We start from the raw sequence: 20,020 nt of genomic DNA on the forward strand, positions 1-20,020 counted from the left end.
ACAAGGTCTTACTTTGTTGCCTGGGCTGGAGTGCAGTGGTGCTATCATGGCTGACTGAAGCCTTGAACTCCCAGGCTCAAGCGATCCTCCTGCCTCAGCCTCCCAAGTAGTTTGGACCACAGGCATGGGCCACCATGCCCAGCTACTTTTCATTTTTTGCTTTTGTTGACTAGCCCCACAGAGTTTTGCTGTGTTGTTCAGGTTGGTCTCAAACTTCTGGCCTTAAGCAATCCTCTTGCCTTGCTCTCCCAAAGCGTATTACAGGCATAAGTCACCACACCCAGCCCTATCGGTGCTTTTGGAAGAAGGTGTTCTTCCCTCTCTCTGTTTCCCTCCCTATGGCCAGCTGCCCATAGAGGGCAGTGGTGCTGGAGTGAAGACCTCTCAGCGCATCCCTCTTCATCTGTAGGATGTGCATGGCTTCCAATGCTGTCTGTTCTGCTCCTGAGACACTCGCTGGCTACAGGATTATAAAGGTGATGAGGTTTCAGCCTAAAGACTCTCCATTCAATAACACTTCCTACAAGATATCTTTTTTGTTTTTTTGAGACAGGATCTGGCTCTGTCACCCAGGCTGGAGTGCCACAGCGCGATCTGCTCACTGCAACCTCAGCCTCTCGGGCTTAAGTGATTCTCCTGCCTTAGCCTCCTGAGTAGCTGGGACCACAGGCGCCCGCCACCACACCCAGCTAATTTTTGGATTTTTTTTTTTTTTTTTTTTAGTAGAGATGGGGTTTTACCATGTTGCCCAAGCTGGTCTTGAACTCCTGAGCTCAGGCAATCCACCCGCCTTGGCCACCCAAAGCGCTAGGATTACAGGCATGAGCCACCATGCCCAGTCCTACAAGATATCTTTTCTTTTTCTTTCTTTCTTTCTTTCTTTCTTTTTTTTTTTTTGAGACAGAGTCTCACTCTGTCACCCAGGCTGGACTGCAGTGGTGTGATCTCTTCTCACTGCAGCCTCCGCCTCCTGGGCTCAAGTGATTCTCCTGCCTCAGCCCCCTGAGTAGCTGGGACTACAGGCGCCTGCCAAAACACTTAGCTAATTTTTTGTATTTTTAGTAGAGACGGAATTTCACCATGTTCGCCAGGCTGGTCTCGAATTCCTGACCTCAAGTGATCCACCCGCCTCAGCCTCCCAAAGTGTTGGGATTCCAGGCATGAGCCACCGCACCCGGCCGAGATATCTTTTTCCTCCTCAATATCTATGTGCTCCTCCCTCAACCCTTGGGGGCTTCAGTGTAGGTGGTCAGATTCCCCACCATTTATGCCTATGATGAAAAGAGTGGAAATGGTAATAACTGGATGGTGTCACTAAACTACAAATACTTTCAGGTAGGCCTGTGCCTTTTTCAGCGGGCTGCAGTTCTCCTGCTTGGCTTGAGTCATTCGCATTTCCTGAGAGCTGGGTAGAGGGGGAGTTGTGGAGGAGCCCATTCTGAAACTGATCTGATATTGCAAACCCATACACGGAAAGGAAGAACTGCCCATACGTATTCGAGTCTTCCAATCTGACTCCGAGCCCGCATCCCCCTCAATCGTCTCTTTTCCCCACTCCCCAGATCACGGTGCTGCTTGGTCCCCCTCAGAGCCATAGAGAAGCAGGGGGTGTGGCCATGGAGGGGAAACCTCTGTCACCAGAGACTTTACTGTACTTCTCCTTTTGCTCTCAGATGCTGCCAGGGTCCCTGAAGAGGGAAGACACGCGGAAACAGGTAAAAATCATTTTGCTTTTATTTTGCATTCAACAAGCAAGTTATTACGGAACAGCAGTTATGGGCCAGGCATACCTCCCAGAGCTGGGAACACAGTGGGGACCTCCCTGGCTCTCTCTTACCGGTGTTACAACAGGTTGTAGACAGACCCCTGTCTTGAGCATCCTCCTTGCCAGGCCTGCTGAGTCTTCTGAGAGTAGGGTAGGTTATTGGATGCCCAGGAGGGAAGAAGGAGCCAGGGAGGTCAGCCCCAAGGTTCTGCAAGGCCCTCAACAGGCCTGGACTGAGGAGGTCTGGACAGCATGGCCCTGTCCTGAGCCTCTGTGCATAATAACTGCTGTCCCTAACCTCCACCCCACCCTCAGCCTTCCAATTCCCGGGCCTGGGGCCCTACTCCTGTGCTCCAGAGACTCCTGGAGCTCCTTGAGGCAGCACACAGTCCTGCTCTGGAGGCGCCCATCTCCCACTCATGCTGGGATGCTCCAGCCCGTCCCAGAGCAGGTTGTGGCTGGAGGGTGCTGGCAGAGGAGGGACAATGGCCCGGCTCCTGGAGGCAAGTGTTGGCTGCAGGGAACGGAGTCTAGTCCTTGCCACAGCCCTTGTTACCCCTTAGGTAACCTTAAGGGGATTTCAAAGAACTCTGGCTCTGCAACCCTGCTAAGTTTTTTATGGAACATGTAAAATAGATCCCATGGCCAAAGAAGTATGGACAATGTATTATACTATACTCTAATCCCCATGTCTAGAGATTAATGGTGTAGATAGAGTTTACTGAAAGGTTTTTAAAGTCCTGCAGTAAAGAATCTTACTTAAGCCAGGTGCGGTGGCTCACGCCTGTCATCTCAGCACTTTGGGAGGCCAAGTTGGGGGGATCACCTGAGGTCAGGAGTTTGAAACCAGCCTGGCCAACATGGTGAAACCCCATCTCTACTAAAACAAACAAACAAACAAACAAATCAGACGGGTGTGGTGGCACATGCCTATAGTCCCAGCTACTCAGGAGGCTGAGGCAGGAGAATCACTTGAACCCTGGAGGCAGAGGATGCAGTGAACTGAGATCACACCACTGCACTTCAGCCTGGGCGACAGAAGAATGAGACTCTGTCTCAAAAGAAAAAAAAAGAATCTTACTTAACTCTTTTACCCTGCCTTTCTCAAGTGTATGTGACCTTGAAGATGTTTTTTGCATGTGACATGATGAGTACCTGCGGGGCTGATGTCAGCTCTGCCTGGGGAATCTGCCTCAGCTTCAGACCCTGCACCCCAAATTCATGCTTAGCCCAGGCCAGACCCCCTTCCTGCTGTCGGCAAGCAGCTTAGCTTTCCGCACACCCATGAACAGATACCCAGCAGCCTTTGGCATGAGCCATGTGGCCCGAGGAGATAAACAGACAGAGAGAGGAACATTGATGCGTGTGAAATGTTGGCAGGTGAGTGGGAGGGGCTTGGGTTGGTGCTGAGACCGGAGACACACTCTGCTGTCACATCCTTCAGGGTCCCCGGGGGCCAGCACGGAGGGCCATGATCATGTAAATTGGGACTTAAATTTAACTCTATGTAAATATAACTCTATGCAGAGGTCAGGGATGGTAGAGGACAAGCTCACTGCAGAGAAAGAAAGAAAGATGGGCAACAGTTGCAGAACCTAACCCACAGATAGGTTTTGTTTGACCAGCTCTGTACATTTTTAGTTTATTTTTTATCTTTTTGAGACAGGGTCTTGCCCTGTCGCCCAGGCTGGAGTGCAGTTGCATGATCTCGGCTCATTCCAACTTCTACTTCCCGGGTTCAAGCAATTCTCCTGCCTCAGCCTCATGAGTATCTGGGATTACAGGTGTACGCCACCACGCCTGGCTAATTTTTTGCATTTTGAGTAAAGATGGGGTTTTGCCATGTTGGCCAGGCTGGTCTTGAACTCCTGACCTCAAGTGATCTGCCTGCCTTGGCATCCCAAAGTATTGGGATTACAGGTGTGAGCCACTGCGCCTGGCTCACCCATACTTTGTTACTGGTTTTAGAATTCCTTTTTACCTGGTCTTTCAAACCAAGTTTTGACCATGTCTGTCCCTGAGTATAATCCTTGATGAGTAGCACCAGAGAGAGCTCCACGTTACCCGGGGCCTGGCATTCAAAGCACTCAGTGGTCTGGTGCCACTCAAAGCCTGTGAGCCAGGCAGGAAGTTTATAAAATTAGAGATGGATGAATGGATGGATGGGAAAAAGCAAGCAAGGGAGGAAGGAAGGAAGAAAGGAAGGAGTTCTGGGAAGAGAGAGAGGCTGCCCCCGCAGGGCTCTCAGTTTGAAGGAGAGGTGCAGCACACTCAGAAAAAACTCCCGGCCAGGAGTGGTGGCTCACACCTGTAGTGCCAGCACTTTGGGAGGCCAAGGCTGGCAGATCACCTGAGATCAGGAGTTCAAGACCAGCCAGGCCAACATGGTGAAACCCCATCTCTACTGAAAATACAAAAATCAGCCAGGCGTGGTGGCACCTGCCTTTACCCAGCTACTTGGGGGGCTGAGGCCAGAGAAACGCTTGAGCCTGGGAAGCAGAGGTTGCAGTGAGCGGAGATCACACCACTGCACTCTAGCCTGGGAGACAGAGCAAGACTCTGTCTCAAAAAAAAAGAAAGAACTCCGTGAGCATCCCAAATGCCACATCCCCATAATGCAACCAGACCCGGTCCTCCCGGATCCAGGGGAAGGGTCGGAGCTCAGTGGGTGAGCAAGAAAAGCCACGTGGAAGAAGTAAGCGGCCAGATGGCTCAAAGACAAACTCTCCCCTGCTCAGGCTTGCACCCAGACACGACACCATGCATCTCCTCGGCCCCTGGCTCCTGCTCCTGGGTAAGGACTGTGGCCTGGGCTAGTACTGGGGTTCTGGGATGTCAGTGGGCACTGGAGGAGGAGGAAAGACCCAGGCAGAGAGGCGTCAACATAGGGTAGGGTGGGGGCAGCGGTGTGTATAGATAAATGTACATACAAATATATATGTTTCCCATATATACATACACTTCTCTCATTGCATCCTGCTGTCTTTGTGTATCTCTGTATTTCTCCCACTATCTTCAGAGGGAATTCTTTAGTCTTTAGAAAGCTCTCTGCTGGGTGCAGTGGCTCATGCCTGAAATCTCAGCACTTTGTGAGGCTGAGGTGGGAGGATCACTTGAGGTCAGGAGTTCAAGGCCAGCTTGGACAACATAGCAAGACCCCTATCTCTAAAAAGAATAAAAAATTAAACAAATTTTAAAATAAAAAATAACTTTTAAAAGAAGGCTCTCATGCCCCCTTAGTAATGCTTTCTGATCACTGTGGTGAGTTCTAGAATACTTGGCTTTCTCTGACTCAAGTAAATGGGTTTTTGAGCACCCTGAAACCCTCTACGCCTGGGAGGGGGCCTGCGTCTGGATCCCCTGCACCTACAGAGCCCTAGATGGTGACCTGGAAAGCTTCATCCTGTTCCACAATCCTGAGTATAACAAGAACACCTCGAAGTTTGATGGGACAAGACTCTATGAAAGCACAAAGGATGGGAAGGTTCCTTCTGAGCAGAAAAGGGTGCAATTCCTGGGAGACAAGAATAAGAACTGCACACTGAGTATCCACCCGGTGCACCTCAATGACAGTGGTCAGCTGGGGCTGAGGATGGAGTCCAAGACTGAGAAATGGATGGAACGAATACACCTCAATGTCTCTGGTAAGGCCTTCGGGGAGCGGGTCCTCTGCTCTGGGCAGGGGTGAGTGGGAGGCAGGAAATACCTGACTCCTGGCACAGAGCTCACAAACCGAGCTTCCTGCAGAGCTCAGGCAGGGGACGCCAGCGGATGACGATGGCGATGCAGCAGCACTAGACAGAGCTGCGGGACCTCGGATGTCCCATCTGACCCTCAGTTCCTGCCCCTCTGGGACCTGGATTCCAAAGTTATCGGATCTCCTGATCTTTCCCTCTTTCTTTCTCACCATGTATTTTTCAGCTTTTGTGACAAACTCGTGTTTGGCCTTAGTACTGGAACCATCCAAGCACCGCATTCCTTTAGTGGGGTGGGTCTGCATGTAACCAGCCTCAGCTCTCCCCCAGGCTGGACCGCCCCCTTCAGACATTGGGGTCTGAAGCTGCATCGCTCACCCCAAACTTAGGGCTGCTCAGAGCTCCCTATAGAGGAAACTGGGTGTGGAACGGAGTAACCACACTCCCTAGGGCAGAGGCCCCAGACCTGTGTTTGATGGGTCAAATCCACCCCTACATGTGCAGTGCCATAACTGAGCCTGTGTTATAAAAATCATAAAATGTTTGTTTTACTTTTTTTCCTCTTCTTTTCCCCTTCCCCTTCCTTTCCCTTTTTATGAGACAGGGTCTCGCACTGTCATCACCCAGGCTGGAGTGCAGTGGCGCGATCTCAGCTCACTGCAGCCTTGATCTCCCGGGTTCAAGCAATCCTCCCACCTCCAAAGTAGCTAGGATCACAGGTGCATGCCACCATGCCCAGCTAACTTTTTAATTTGTTGTAGAAATGGGTCTTGCTATGTTGCCAGGCTGGTCTTGAACTCCTGGCCTCAAGCAATCCTCCTGCTTCAACCTCTCAAAGCATTAGGATTACAGGCATGAGTCACCGCACCCGGCCTGATCTTCTGATTTTTCAAGAGACGATGGAAATCTAGATTTTCCAGTGAAATCTCCCAGCATGTTAATGTTCATGGCAAGTTCTCATGAGCTCTTCAAGGTCAGATGACACTGTTGTTGAACCCCAAAGGCCAGGTTTGAGCTCCCGATGCGTAGTCAGCCAAACACTGACACCTCAGTGCTTAGAAGCTGAGATAGGATTATTTAATTTAGCCAAAGCAAGGGGACAGAAGAGAGAAACTCTCAAATCTGACCTGACTTTGAGCGTTAGTGGGGGCTTTTATGAGTAAAGTAGGTGTGCAGGAGGTGACCTCCCGATCGTCAAAGCTGTTGTGCCCCTCGGCTCATCAAATTTCTGGATGTCATCAAGGAGGTCTGTGTGACCTAAGGATCATTGTTCTTTGAAAGAGAGACAAGTTCATTTATCTTGCAGGCAGCTGCCAGGGAGTCAGGATGTAAGTTAAACAATTATGAGTGAATTAATGGTTACCTGCTACTGAAATGACCAAATGTAACTAATCATGCATGGAGGAAGGAAAGGACAAAGAGAAAAGAAAAGAAGTAAAACGAACATCTTATAATTTTTATAACATAGGTTCAGTTATAGCACTGCACATGTAGGGGTGGCTTTGACCCATCAAACACAGGTGTGGGGGGCCCCTGCCACAGGGAGTGTGGTCACTCCGTTCCACACCGTTTCCCGGATGGGCAGTTCTGAGCAGCCTTAAATTTGGGGTGAGCAATGCAACTTCAGACCCCGCTGTCTGAAGGAGGTGGTCCAGCCTTGGGGAGAGCTGAGGCTGGGTGCACACAGACCCACTCCACTAAAGGAATGCGGTGCGTGGATGGCTGCAATACTGAAGGAAGCCATGAAAGTAACACAAGTTTGTCAAAGCTGAAAAGTCCGTGAACTAAACTGATAAAATTCACTTAGAGGTGGTGGGAATAGGCCGGGCACGGTGGCTCACGCCTGTAATCCCAGAACTTTGGGAGGCCGAGGCAGGCGGATCACAAGGTCAGGAGATCGAGACCATCCTGACTAACACAGTGAAACCCTGTCTCTACTAAAAATGCAAAAAGTTAGCCAGGCGTGGTGGCAGGCGCCTGTAGTCCCAGCTACTCAGGAGGCTGAGGCAGGAGAATGGCGTGAACCCGGAAGGTGGAGCTTGCAGTGAGCTGAGATCACGCCACTACACTCCAGTCCGGGCGACAGAGCGAGACTCTGTCTCAAAAAAAAAAAAAAAAAAAAAAGAGGTGGTGAGGTGGTGGGAATAGAACTTTGCAATCATTCAGAAAGCAGACATCCGGCAATGAGCATGAAAGAAAAGTAGATCACAGTTCCCAAGGAGGCTTAGTGTGGTCAAGGCCTTTCAGAGGGGATTTCGGGTGAGCAAAAGTGATTCAAAGTGGAGAAAAGCAGGACTGCGTTGGGTGCAGTGGTTCCCGCCTGTAACCCCAGCACTTTGGGAGGCTGAGATCGGAGGATCGTTTGAGCCCAGGAGTTTGAGACCAGCCTGGGTAACATGGCAAGACCCTGTCTCTACAAAATGTTTAAAAAACTAGCTAGGTGTGGTGGCACATGCCTGTAGTCCCAGTTACTCAGGGGGCTGAGGTGAGAGGATTGCTTGAGCCTAGGAGGTTGAGGCTACAGTGAGCTAGGATTGCGCCACTGCACTCCAGCCTGGGTGACAAAGCAAGACCCTGTCTCTAAAGAAAAAAAGAGGCCGGGTGTGGTGGCTTACACCTGTAATCCCAGCACTTTGGGAGGCCAAGGCGGGAGGATCACTTGAGGTCAGGAGTTCAAGACCAGCCTGGCCAACATGGCGAAACCCTGTCTCTACTAGAAATACAGAAAAATTAGCTGGGTGTGGTGGTGGGCACCTGTAATCCCAGCTACTCGGGAGGCTGAGGCAGGAGGATCACTTGAACTGGGGAGGTAGAGGTTACAGCGAGCCAAGATCGCGCCACTGCACTCCAGCCTGGGTGACAGAGGGAAACTCCATCTCAAAAAAACAACAACACAACAACAACAACAATAACAACAAAAAAACAAAGCAGGACTGGAGAGAGGTGGAATGAAGTGGCAAGGGGTTCCTGAGGGGTGATTTGGGACAGGACATCTAAAGCCAGGTGTACGCTCACGTCCTCAGTCCCCCAGGCTCCTGCACGGGCTCTGTTCTTTTGCAGAAAGGCCTTTTCCACCTCATATCCAGCTCCCTCCAGAAATTCAAGAGTCCCAGGAAGTCACTCTGACCTGCTTGCTGAATTTCTCCTGCTATGGGTATCCGATCCAATTGCAGTGGCTCCTAGAGGGGGTTCCAATGAGGCAGGCTGCTGTCACCTCGACCTCCTTGACCATCAAGTCTGTCTTCACCCGGAGCGAGCTCAAGTTCTCCCCACAGTGGAGTCACCATGGGAAGATTGTGACCTGCCAGCTTCAGGATGCAGATGGGAAGTTCCTCTCCAATGACACGGTGCAGCTGAACGTGAAGCGTGAGTCTCCCCGGCATGCCTGTGGGAAGGGCAAGGTCTGTGTCACCTTCTCCCCAGCCCCGCAGGGGGCATGCACCCAGGGCAGGGGGAAGCCTGCACAGACGGCGGCATCCTCCAGCCCTGGTCACGCCGCCTTGTCAGCCCTGGTGTTTCGGGAAAAAGATTTGCTCTAGCCTAACAGAATAAAATGGTCCATCCTCAAGCCATGACATGAATTGGGGATTATCTGGTTAGGTCTTTTTGTTCCCCTCTTGGTGGGGATTTTTTTCGCATCATTATCTTGTGCCTCATTCATTCAATAAATACGTATCATGAACCTACTAGGTACCAGGCCTTATTACGGCTGCCAATGGGGGGCATGGGGCGGTGGGCAGGGTGCAGCAGTGAGCAAAACTCTTGCCCCACGCGGAGCCAGCGCTGCAGTGAAAGAGACAGACAACAAATGGATTACCAAAGAAATACAGAGCATGAGCCAAGACATTAGAATCTGGAACAAAGCAATGTTAACAAAGAAATATACAACACTATTGTAGGTAGTGATATGTGTGTTAGGAAAAAAATAAGGCCGAGAGAGGGGAGTGATGGAGAGAGACCTCTCTAAGAAGGTGAGCACTTAGGCCGGGTGCGGTGGCTCACGCCTGTAATCCTAGCACTTTGGAAGGCCGAGGCGGGGGGATCACAAGGTCAGGAGATCGAGACCATCCTGGCTAACATGGTGAAACCCCATCTCTAGTAAAAATACAAAAAATTAGCCAGGCATGATGGCAGGCGCCTGTAGTCCCAGCTACTTGGGAGGCCAAGGCAGGAGAATGACATGAACCCAGGAGGCGGAGCTTGCAGTGAGCTGAGATCGCACCACTGCACTCCAACCTGGGTGACGAGTGAGACTCCATCTCAAAAAAAGAAAAAAAAAGAAGGTGAGCACTTAAGCTGACTGGAACGGAGGGAGTGGCTGAGGCCGGCACATATTTGGGAGAGGAGGATTTCAGGGAAAGAGAAGGGCAGGTTCAAAGCTTTGAGGCAGCAGCTGGGTGGGAGGACCTCAGAGGCTGAAGTTCACCGCCTCTGAGGGCCACATGGTAGGACAGGAGGCAGGAGATGGAGCAGGACTCTGGATCCCGAGGGCTGAGGTGAGGGTTTGGGATTCTATGCAAAGCACAGAACCCGCTCGTGGTTTCCAGCAGGATTGGCGAGGTCTGGTAGATGGTGTTAGGAACCCTGCGTGCTGCTGGTGGAGACCAAGAAGTAGAGGAAGTGGGAGGGGGAAGCTGAGAGCCGAGTTAGGAGGCTGTGACCATCACCTGGGTGAAGGGACTGGCAGGCCATGGCTTTGTCAGAATAAAAGCACTTTCCACACCCTCCACCCTCTGAGGATTCCCCGCCCCCTCCCCGACTGCCCCTCTGCTCCTCCAGACACCCCGAAGTTGGAGATCAAGGTCACTCCCAGTGATGCCATAGTGAGGGAGGGGGACTCTGTGACCATGACCTGCGAGGTCAGCAGCAGCAACCCGGAGTACACGACGGTATCCTGGCTCAAGGATGGGACCTCGCTGAAGAAGCAGAATACATTCACGCTAAACCTGCGCGAAGTGACCAAGGACCAGAGTGGGAAGTACTGCTGTCAGGTCTCCAATGACGTGGGCCCGGGAAGGTCGGAAGAAGTGTTCCTGCAAGTGCAGTGTGAGCCCCTCGGAGCTGGGGACAGGCCAGGCAGGGAGGTAGCAGGGGTGGACCCGGAGAGGGGAGCCACGGGGGCTCTCGGGGCCGTGTGCACAGGTTGGGGGTGCTCTCCTCACCCCTCCACTCGCCTCTGCCCCCTCTTCCAGATGCCCCGGAACCTTCCACGGTTCAGATCCTCCACTCACCGGCTGTGGAGGGAAGTCAAGTCGAGTTTCTTTGCATGTCACTGGCCAATCCTCTTCCAACAAATTACACGTGGTACCACAATGGGAAAGAAATGCAGGGAAGGACAGAGGAGAAAGTCCACATCCCAAAGATCCTCCCCTGGCACGCTGGGACTTATTCCTGTGTGGCAGAAAACATTCTTGGTACTGGACAGAGGGGCCCGGGAGCTGAGCTGGATGTCCAGTGTGAGTAGCCACGGAGCCTCTGGTTCTAGGGAGAGAAGATGGACACAGGGAACGGGGAAGGCAGATGGGGTGCAGGGCATTCCGGGGTCCTGGAGTCAAGAGCAAGGAGCAGCCAGGGTCTCCTGTTCACAACTGCTGTCTCAGCTCCTAGCATAGGGCCTGGCTCATGGAGGGTGCTTGGTAGATGCTTGTTTTTTTGTGTTTTAGTTTTTTTTGAGATGGAGTCTCCCTCTGTCTCCCAGGCTGGAGTGCAGTGGCACAATCTCGGCTCACTGCAAGCTCCACCTTCCCGGGTTCATGCCATTCTCCTGTCTCAGCCTCCTGAGTAGCTGGGATGACAGGCGCCCGCCACCACGCCCGGCTAATTATTTGTACTTTTAGTAGAGACGGGGTTTCACCGTGTTAGCCAGGATGGTCTCGATCTCCTGACCTCGTGATCCACCCGCCTCGGCCTCCCAAAGTGCTGGGATTAGAGGCGTGAGCCACCGCACCCGGCCTGTAGATGCTTGTTGAATGAATGAGGCCAGGTGCGGTGGCTCCCGCCTGCAATCCCAGCTCTTTAGGAGGCTGAGGCAGGAGGGTCTCTTGAACCCAGGAGTTTGAAACCAGCCTGGGCCACACAGCGAGATACCATCTCTACAAAAAAATACAAAAATTAGCTGAGCATGGTGGTGCGTGCCTGTGGTCCCAGCTACTGGGGAGGCTGAGGAGGGAGAATCACTTGAGCCCAGGAAGTGAAGGCTGCAGACTGAACTATGTTCCTGCTACTGCACTCTAGCCTGGGTGACAGAGCAAGACCTGGGTCTCAAAAAGAAAAAGAAAATGCTGGGACTGGGATTATAGGTGTGAGCTGGGCACAGTGGCTCACACTTGTAATCCCAGCACTTTGGGAGGCCAAGGTAGGCAGCTCACTTGAGGCCACGAGTTCAAGCCCAGCCTGGGCAACATGGTAAAACCCCATCTCTACAAAAAAAAATTAGCCTGGCATGGTCATGCATGCCTGTAGTCTCAGCTACCCAGGAGGCTGAGGTGGGAGGATCACCTGAGCCTGGAAGTAGAGGCTGCAGTGAGCCTGTGATCATGCCGCTGCACTCCAGCCTGGGTGACTGAGTGAGACCTTGTCTCAAAAAAAAGAATGGATTGGCCAGGCATGGTGGCTTACGCCTGTAATCCCAGCACTTTGGGAGGCCAAGGTGGGCAGATCACCTGAGGTCAGGAGTTCGAGACCAGCCTGGCCAACATGGCGAAACCCTGTCTCTACTAAAAATACAAAAAATTAGCCGGGCATGGTGGCAGGCACCTGAAATCCACCTACCTGGGAGGCTGAGGCAGGAGAATCGCTTGAACCCAGGAGGCAGAGGTTGCAATGAGCTGAGATCATGTCACTGCACTCTAGCCTGGGTAGAGTGAGATTCTGTCTCCAAAAAAAAAGAATAATTAACTGCAAGATACCAGGACTCCATGAGGGACACAGAGACTTAGCGTCCCTAGGCAGTGGCTGAGTCTTGAGAGATCTTGAAATTTTTAATGAGAACTGGGGCAAACTGTCTCATTACCTCTCCATTGTAAGACCCTTTTAACACAGTGAATCTTGTTACCATGTAGAGCACAGGACAAAAAGAACACATAAGCTCGATCCTTGGACCCTGAGATGTCATATGTGCTAACAGGACAGGGGTGCCCAAATCCTGAGCATCTCAGACAGCTGGATGCGTGACCACAGCAGCCACAGTGATGTTTGTGGAGTGTTTGCCACACGCCACACTCTGCTCTAAGGGAGTCATCTCATTTCCTTCTTGAAACAATTCCCAGGAGGTTAGGAACTCTCAGGACTCACCCCCCACCCACCCCGCACTGCCTCTTGTTTTTAAGATGGAGTCTCCCTCTGTTGCCCAGGCTGGAGTGCAGTGGCTTGATCTCGGCTCACTGCAACCTCCACCTCCCGGGTTCAAGCGATTCTCTTGCCTCGACCACCTGAGTAGCTGGGACTACAGACATGCACCAGCATGCATAGCTAATTTTTAAAATTTTTAGTAGAGACAGGGTTTTGCTGTGTTGGCCAGGTCTCGAACTCCTGACCTCAGGTGATCTGCCCACCTCAGCCTCCCAAAGTGCTGAAATTACAAGCGTGAGCCACCATGCCCGGCCTCAGGACCCCATTTGACAGACGTGTAAACTGAGACCTGCAGCCCATGCCCGTGCGCCTCTCAGCAGCCGTCTGGCTTCAGCGCTGTGCCCTGAACCCCTGCACCAAACCACAGCCAGGCCAGAGAGCCAGGGCAGGGTTTCTGTTCTCACACAGATGCAGGAAGGACGCACAAGCCCCCCTTTGATTAATTTAGGACCTGTGCAGATGCCCGGGACAGGTAGCGGGAGAAGAGGAAGCAGGAGGGAAGGGGTACTGTGGACAGCTGGCTTTTCTTTACTCACCTCTCTGGTTTTCTTCCAGATCCTCCCAAGAAGGTGACCACAGTGATTCAAAACCCCATGCCGATTCGAGAAGGAGACACAGTGACCCTTTCCTGTAACTACAATTCCAGTAACCCCAGTGTTACCCGGTATGAATGGAAACCCCATGGCGCCTGGGAGGAGCCATCGCTTGGGGTGCTGAAGATCCAAAACGTTGGCTGGGACAACACAACCATCGCCTGCGCAGCTTGTAATAGTTGGTGCTCGTGGGCCTCCCCTGTCGCCCTGAATGTCCAGTGTGAGTCCCTGGGCTAGGCAGGGGGATCTGGGAGGTGGCCCGGCTGGGATGAGGGGATGAAGGCAACGAGGCCGGAGCCTGGGCCAGTGTCTTCAACAGAATTGAGGGACAGGAGCCTGGCGTCAGGGCCAAGGGGAGGGGAGGCCTGGGGACAGCAAAAGGGACAGGGAGCGGAGAGGTCAGCTTGGGACCCTTGCCCTCCAGATGCCCCCCGAGACGTGAGGGTCCGGAAAATCAAGCCCCTTTCCGAGATTCACTCTGGAAACTCGGTCAGCCTCCAATGTGACTTCTCAAGCAGCCACCCCAAAGAAGTCCAGTTCTTCTGGGAGAAAAATGGCAGGCTTCTGGGGAAAGAAAGCCAGCTGAATTTTGACTCCATCTCCCCAGAAGATGCTGGGAGTTACAGCTGCTGGGTGAACAACTCCATAGGACAGACAGCGTCCAAGGCCTGGACACTTGAAGTGCTGTGTGAGTGAGGGCCGGAGGCTGGGAGTGGAGCAGAGAAGGGACCAGTGGCCTGCCTGGTAGTGACTTCGCACCCCCTCCCCCTGCCCGCCATGCAGATGCACCCAGGAGGCTGCGTGTGTCCATGAGCCCGGGGGACCAAGTGATGGAGGGGAAGAGTGCAACCCTGACCTGTGAGAGCGACGCCAACCCTCCCGTCTCCCACTACACCTGGTTTGACTGGAATAACCAAAGCCTCCCCTACCACAGCCAGAAGCTGAGATTGGAGCCGGTGAAGGTCCAGCACTCGGGTGCCTACTGGTGCCAGGGGACCAACAGTGTGGGCAAGGGCCGTTCGCCTCTCAGCACCCTCACCGTCTACTGTAAGGCCTCTTCCTGCTCTTGTTCTTCTTGGTGGTGGTCAGTCCTTCCTTCCTTCCTTCCTTCCTTCCTTCCTTCCTTCCTTCCTTCCTTTCTTTCTCTCTTTCTTTTCCTCCTCCTCTTCTTCCCCTCCTCCTCCTCTTCCTCCTTCTTCTTCTTCTTCTGCTTTCTCCCTCTCCTCCTCCTCTTTCTTCTCCTTCTCCTTCCTTCTTCTTCTTCTTATAGAGACAAGGTCTTACTCTGTCACCCAGGCTGGAGTGCAGTCGCATAATGACACCTCACTGCAGCCTCCAATTCCTGGGCTCAAGCAATCCTTTCGCCTCAGCCTCCTGAGTAGCTGGGACTATAGACATGCACCACCACATCCGGCTAATTTTTACATTTTTGTAGAGATGGGGTCTTACTATGTTGACCAGGCTGGTTTCAAACTCCTGACCTCAAGTGACCCTTCTGCCTCAGCTTCCCAAAGCCCTGGGATTAGAGCCATGAGCCACTGTGCCTCTCCCTGTTTCCTCTCATGCTCCTCTCTGGCCCTGTCTCCTCCAGTGACTTCCCGAAAAGCCTTCCAGACCAGCTGGCCCCTTCTTCCCCACCTCACTGTCCCCTTTCCCATTCACACCCCTTGCTCCAGGCCATCTGCCGCTGTGCTGGAGGAGTCGTCTTGTCCTGCGTCACCAGTCTCTCTTTTTCTACCTCCCCTGCAGTCTCTCCTGCCTCCCTCTAGGGTCCCCTCTCAGGCTGCTCCACCTTCCAGAAGTCCTGAGCTCCTACTGGGTCCCTGTCTCTCTCTCTCTGACTACTCTGTCTCTCTCAGCCCTGACAGGCTCCTTGTTTTTATCTTTTAAAACGTAAATGATTTTTTTTTTAAACGGAGTCTCGATCTGTCACCCAGGCTGGAGTGCAGTGGCGTGATCACGGCTCACTGCAAGCTCTGCCTCCCGGGTTCACGCCATTCTCCTGCCTCAGCTCCCCGAGTAGCTGGGACTACAGGCGCCTGCCACCATGCCCGGCTAATTTTTTGTATTTTTAGTAGAGATGTGGTTTCACCGTGGTCTCAGTCTCCTGACCTCGTGATCCGCTCGCCTCGGCCTTCCAAAGTGCTGGGATTACAGGCGTGAGCCACCGCACCCGGCTGATTTTTTTTTTTTTTTTTTGAGACAGGGTCTCACCCTGTTGCACAGGTTGGAGTGCAGTGGCACAATCTCAGCTCCTGCAGCCTCGACCCCCTAGGCTCAAGTGATACTCCTGCCTCGGCCTCCACAGTAGTAAACTTGAGTGGTTTTTAAACAGATCATACAAGCACCTGGTAAAAAAATAAAATGTAAGCATGAAAGGGTAAATAGTGGAAAGACAGACGCGGCTCACTCTTGATCCCTGAGAACTCTCATCCCCACCAAAGGTCCTCACTGCACACAGTCTTCCCATCTCACTGCACACAGTCTTCCCATCTCCTCCAGGGGTATTTTTCACACGCACAATTCACACACAGAGGTCTGTGCCTATATACCCTTCCTCATGACACAGACGAGGCAGAGCCCACACTTTGCCTGGGAATTTTCTTTGCTTTTTTCCATGTAATAATACTGTTTGGACATTGTTCTGTATCTATGCATACACAGAGTGTCTAAAGTCTGGAGGCTGGGCATGGTGGTTCATGCCTGTAATCCCAACACTTTGAGAGGCCATGGTGGGAGGATCACTTGAGCCCAGGAGTTTGAGACCAGCCTGGGCAACATAGCCCACACCTCATAGCAGGATCTCATCTCTACAAAAAATACCAAAAAAAATTTTAAAAACGAACAAACAAAACAATAACAACAACAAAAAAGAGTCTGAAAGCATATGGAAGATACCTAATTAATTTATTGTACTTTTTCAGATTAATAATTGGAAACATGGCCTTAAATTGAGGGAACCTGACCAGGCACAGTGGCTCACGCCTGTAATCCCAGCACTTTGGGAGGCCAAAGTGGGTGGCCACAAGCACTTTGGGAGGCCACAAGGTGGGTGGATCACTTGAGGCCAGGAGTTCCAGACCAGCCTGGCCAATGGTGAAACCCCATCTCTACTAAAAATACAAAAATTAGCTGGGTGTGGTGGCGCGCACCTGTAGTCCCAACTACTCGGGAGGCTGAGGCAGGAGAATCGCTTGAACCCGGGAGGCAGAGGTTGCAGTGAGCCAAGATCTCACCACTGCACTCCAGCCTGGGTGAAAGAGCGAGACTCTGTCTCAATCAATCAATCAGTCAATCTAGGGAACCATCACCAGCACGGCCGAAGGCCAAAGGAAAACATCTGAAACATGTTATCTGGAAATGTAACAGACACATCCCATCATATAAAACCATTGTTCCCTGGGTATCCCCTTTGCAGACAGCCTGAGAGCCTCCTCTTTTTCCTGGGGCCATGGAGTCCTCGCGTATGAAGGTTGCATACATCCTCCTCCCAGTGCCCTCTTCAGGGCCTAGGTCTGCAGCCTCTTGTTTTGGGCACGCCTGCAAGGACAGTTGCAAGATGCATTCCCATGTGGAATTGCTGGGTGGAAGACAGGTGCACTTTCAGAGCTGATCACACAGCTATACTGCCGTGAAGAGCTGCACCCATTTATGCGGGTGCGGGTCACAGGCTCTGGGCGTGCCACGTCTGTGGGAAAAGCAGCTCCTCAGGAGAATTAGTGCCTTATTCCTAAAGGGAGGCCCAGAGCAAGCAGGGGCCGTTGTCACCCTCTTCCTCTGCACCCCTGCACGCATGCAGGGGAGAAGGACGAGTCTGGCTGCAGAGAGAAGTCCAGGATGCCTTCCAGGCAAAGGCTGCCAGGGAGAGCTGGCCCCTCAGTTGATTAAGGTCTCTCCTTTCTCCACCCAGATAGCCCGGAGACCATCGGCAGGCGAGTGGCTGTGGGACTCGGGTCCTGCCTCGCCATCCTCATCCTGGCAATCTGTGGGCTCAAGCTCCAGCGACGGTGAGCTCCTGCCATCCCCCACCACCTCCTCTATCCCTTGGCAGAGGCCCGTGTCCAGTTGCTCCATCTCGAAGCCTCCAGCCTGTGGAGTCCCTGACCCTCACACATGTGCCTTTATTTCTCAGTTGGAAGAGGACACAGAGCCAGCAGGGGCTTCAGGAGAATTCCAGCGGCCAGAGCTTCTTTGTGAGGAATAAAAAGGTAGGATGGGGCTGGGCACGATGGCTCATGCCTGTAATCCCAGCACTTTGGGAGGCTGAGGCAGGTGGATCACCTGAGGTCAGGAGTTCGAGACCAGCGTAGCCAACATGGTGAAACCCTGTCTCTACAAAAAATATTTTAAAAATTAGCCGGGCGTGATGGTCCATGCCTGTAATTCCAGCTACTCGGGAGGCTGAGGCAGGAGAATCGCTTGAACCTGGGAGGCAGAGGTTGCAGTGAGCCAAGATTGCGCCATTGCACTCCAGCCTGGGTGACATACTGAGACTCTGCCTCAAAAAAAAAAAAAAAAAAAAAAAAAGGGTAGGCATGAGGCAGACTGTGAAGCTGAGTGGGGAAACAAGGTGAAGGAAGGGGATAAAATGTCCTCTGAGGAGACCTGGGCTGTCAGAGGCCAGGGAAGGGGACGAGGGTTGGGGAACAGGTGGTTAGCACTTCATCCTCGTCTCCCTCCCAGGTTAGAAGGGCCCCCCTCTCTGAAGGCCCCCACTCCCTGGGATGCTACAATCCAATGATGGAAGATGGCATTAGCTACACCACCCTGCGCTTTCCCGAGATGAACATACCACGAACTGGGTACTGAGGGTACCAGGAGGGTGACCCTGCACCCTGGGAGGGAGGCGGGAGGAAAAGCTCTGTCCCGCCTGCCCTCTTTGTGCCAGGCCCATGCCAGGCACCCTGATACATGCTCTGCCTCATTCCCACTCGGCAACAAGCCTCTGGGTAAGGGCCAGTCTCCAGAAGTGGACCTGCTCCTTCAAGTCAGCAGCACACATGCCCAGTCCGTTCTTATCACAAAGATCAAGACCTCATGATACACACCCACGCCTACTCCCTCCACGCACATTTGCACGAGCTCCTACTGTGAGCTTTGGGCACTGGGGAGGCCACAGGTTTTACATAAGGGGCTGAGGTTGGGGTGCTGTTGGGGGCTCTGGGTGTTGAGAGGGAGGAGAGTTCGTGGGAGATGCTTCATGCGTGGTCGTCTATCTGCCCTGTCTCTCAGAGATGCAGAGTCCTCAGAGATGCAGAGACCTCCCCCGGACTGCGATGACACGGTCACTTATTCAGCATTGCACAAGCGCCAAGTGGTAAGGAGGGTCTCCCCAGGTCTCCCCAGAGGGGCTGTGGAAGGCTGGGGACAGGGCCTGGCCTCAGTGGTGGGTCCCACATAGGAAGGAGTTGGGTAGGCATCCGTGGTGGCAGAGGTTGGGTGTTGGAGACGGTTGCTCCGGCAGAGCTGGCCAGAGCCAGGCAGGTACCTCCAGGTCCTGGATGCCGGCCACAGCCAGTTTCCTGACACGAGGACACCCGCCTGGGCTTTTGGACCCCCGGGTGGAATGAAGGAGAGAATGCGGAGAAAAGCGGCGGTGGAGGCTGGCGACAGTGGGGCCAGGCTAACCACCATGCGGTTTTCTCAGGGCGACTATGAGAACGTCATTCCAGATTTTCCAGAAGATGAGGGGATTCATTACTCAGAGCTGATCCAGTTTGGGGTCGGGGAGCGGCCTCAGGCACAAGAAAATGTGGACTATGTGATCCTCAAACATTGACACTGGATGGGCTGCAGCAGAGGCACTGGGGGCAGCGGGGGCCAGGGAAGTCCCCGAGTTTCCCCAGACACCGCCACATGGCTTCCTCCTGCGCGCATGTGCGCACACACACACACACACGCACACACACACACACACACTCACTGCGGAGAACCTTGTGCCTGGCTCAGAGCCAGTCTTTTTGGTGAGGGTAACCCCAAACCTCCAAAACTCCTGCCCCTGTTCTCTTCCACTCTCCTTGCTACCCAGAAATCCATCTAAATACCTGCCCTGACATGCACACCTCCCCCTGCCCCCACCACGGCCACTGGCCATCTCCACCCCCAGCTGCTTGTGTCCCTCCTGGGATCTGCTCGTCATCATTTTTCCTTCCCTTCTCCATCTCTCTGGCCCTCTACCCCTGATCTGACATCCCCACTCACGAATATTATGCCCAGTTTCTGCCTCTGAGGGAAAGCCCAGAAAAGGACAGAAACGAAGTAGAAAGGGGCCCAGTCCTGGCCTGGCTTCTCCTTTGGAAGTGAGGCATTGCACGGGGAGACGTACGTATCAGCGGCCCCTTGACTCTGGGGACTCCGGGTTTGAGATGGACACACTGGTGTGGATTAACCTGCCAGGGAGACAGAGCTCACAATAAAAATGGCTCAGATGCCACTTCAAAGAACCAGTGAACTCTTTTCAGTCTGTGGAGTCAGAGTGGGGATGAGGAGAGGGGAAAGTCTTCATGGGGCCTGGGGGGAAGGAAATGGAGTCACAGTGGTTTACTGATCAAACCAGCAGATTAGAGAGTCTGGTGTCTTGTTAGGAAAAGCATACTGGCTTTGCAGACAGACAAACA

The 20,020-nt window shown here is 52.9% G+C and overlaps 1 protein-coding gene and 1 non-coding gene across 6 annotated transcripts, besides 9 other annotated features; both read left to right on the plus strand.

Annotated features, from left to right (window-relative positions):
* Window positions 1–1,671: 1,671 nt before the first annotated feature.
* Window positions 1,672–19,846, plus strand: CD22 (CD22 molecule). 5 transcript variants are annotated; one of them, NM_001771.4, is made up of 14 exons: window positions 1,672–1,715; window positions 4,504–4,559; window positions 5,032–5,409; window positions 8,521–8,826; window positions 10,240–10,506; window positions 10,653–10,916; window positions 13,366–13,623; window positions 13,828–14,091; window positions 14,187–14,450; window positions 17,314–17,410; window positions 17,536–17,611; window positions 18,087–18,205; window positions 18,636–18,720; window positions 19,051–19,846. In NM_001771.4, the coding sequence occupies exons 2-14, from the start codon at window positions 4,526–4,528 to the stop codon at window positions 19,180–19,182; spliced, it is 2,544 nt and encodes an 847-aa protein (NP_001762.2). In that variant the 5' UTR covers window positions 1,672–1,715; window positions 4,504–4,525; the 3' UTR covers window positions 19,183–19,846. The 5 variants fall into 5 exon arrangements, with proteins under 5 accessions (NP_001762.2, NP_001172029.1, NP_001172028.1 ...); NM_001185100.2 differs by lacking the exon at window positions 18,087–18,205; NM_001185099.2 differs by lacking the exon at window positions 10,653–10,916.
* Window positions 2,249–2,298: an enhancer, noted in NCBI's record as "active region_14468". NCBI's record gives its function as "activates an Ori minimal core promoter by ATAC-STARR-seq in GM12878 lymphoblastoid cells {active_cell/tissue: GM12878}" and the evidence as "EXISTENCE:reporter gene assay evidence [ECO:0000049][PMID:35858748]".
* Window positions 2,369–2,418: an enhancer, noted in NCBI's record as "active region_14469". NCBI's record gives its function as "activates an Ori minimal core promoter by ATAC-STARR-seq in GM12878 lymphoblastoid cells {active_cell/tissue: GM12878}" and the evidence as "EXISTENCE:reporter gene assay evidence [ECO:0000049][PMID:35858748]".
* Window positions 3,549–3,598: an enhancer, noted in NCBI's record as "active region_14470". NCBI's record gives its function as "activates an Ori minimal core promoter by ATAC-STARR-seq in GM12878 lymphoblastoid cells {active_cell/tissue: GM12878}" and the evidence as "EXISTENCE:reporter gene assay evidence [ECO:0000049][PMID:35858748]".
* Window positions 5,790–5,999: a silencer, noted in NCBI's record as "fragment chr19:35824208-35824417 (GRCh37/hg19 assembly coordinates)". NCBI's record gives its function as "represses an EF-1alpha promoter that drives an FKBP-Casp9 reporter gene in an ReSE screen in HepG2 liver carcinoma cells {active_cell/tissue: HepG2}" and the evidence as "EXISTENCE:reporter gene assay evidence [ECO:0000049][PMID:32094911]".
* Window positions 9,798–9,947: an enhancer, noted in NCBI's record as "active region_14471". NCBI's record gives its function as "activates an Ori minimal core promoter by ATAC-STARR-seq in GM12878 lymphoblastoid cells {active_cell/tissue: GM12878}" and the evidence as "EXISTENCE:reporter gene assay evidence [ECO:0000049][PMID:35858748]".
* Window positions 9,988–10,087: an enhancer, noted in NCBI's record as "active region_14472". NCBI's record gives its function as "activates an Ori minimal core promoter by ATAC-STARR-seq in GM12878 lymphoblastoid cells {active_cell/tissue: GM12878}" and the evidence as "EXISTENCE:reporter gene assay evidence [ECO:0000049][PMID:35858748]".
* Window positions 13,153–13,654: an enhancer, noted in NCBI's record as "H3K4me1 hESC enhancer chr19:35831571-35832072 (GRCh37/hg19 assembly coordinates)". NCBI's record gives its function as "activates a minimal SCP1, AML or CMV promoter by ChIP-STARR-seq in naive H9 embryonic stem cells {active_cell/tissue: H9 hESC(naive)}" and the evidence as "EXISTENCE:reporter gene assay evidence [ECO:0000049][PMID:30033119]".
* Window positions 17,998–18,112, plus strand: MIR5196 (microRNA 5196). Its single transcript, NR_049828.1, has one exon. It is a non-coding gene; the product is annotated as a microRNA 5196 (primary transcript).
* Window positions 18,879–19,128: an enhancer, noted in NCBI's record as "active region_14473". NCBI's record gives its function as "activates an Ori minimal core promoter by ATAC-STARR-seq in GM12878 lymphoblastoid cells {active_cell/tissue: GM12878}" and the evidence as "EXISTENCE:reporter gene assay evidence [ECO:0000049][PMID:35858748]".
* Window positions 19,459–19,558: an enhancer, noted in NCBI's record as "active region_14474". NCBI's record gives its function as "activates an Ori minimal core promoter by ATAC-STARR-seq in GM12878 lymphoblastoid cells {active_cell/tissue: GM12878}" and the evidence as "EXISTENCE:reporter gene assay evidence [ECO:0000049][PMID:35858748]".
* Window positions 19,847–20,020: the final 174 nt, after the last annotated feature.

Source organism: Homo sapiens, chromosome 19 (assembly GCF_000001405.40).
Source record: "Homo sapiens chromosome 19, GRCh38.p14 Primary Assembly".
Classification (NCBI taxonomy): domain Eukaryota; kingdom Metazoa; phylum Chordata; class Mammalia; order Primates; family Hominidae; genus Homo; species Homo sapiens.

Coding starts and splice junctions, on each gene's coding strand:
- CD22 (NM_001771.4), top strand. CDS start 4,526: ATGCATCTCCTCGGCCCCTGGCTCCTGCTCCTGG. Junction 5,410..8,520: donor AATACACCTCAATGTCTCTG/GTAAGGCCTTCG, acceptor GTTCTTTTGCAG/AAAGGCCTTTTCCACCTCAT. Junction 14,451..17,313: donor CAGCACCCTCACCGTCTACT/GTAAGGCCTCTT, acceptor TTCTCCACCCAG/ATAGCCCGGAGACCATCGGC.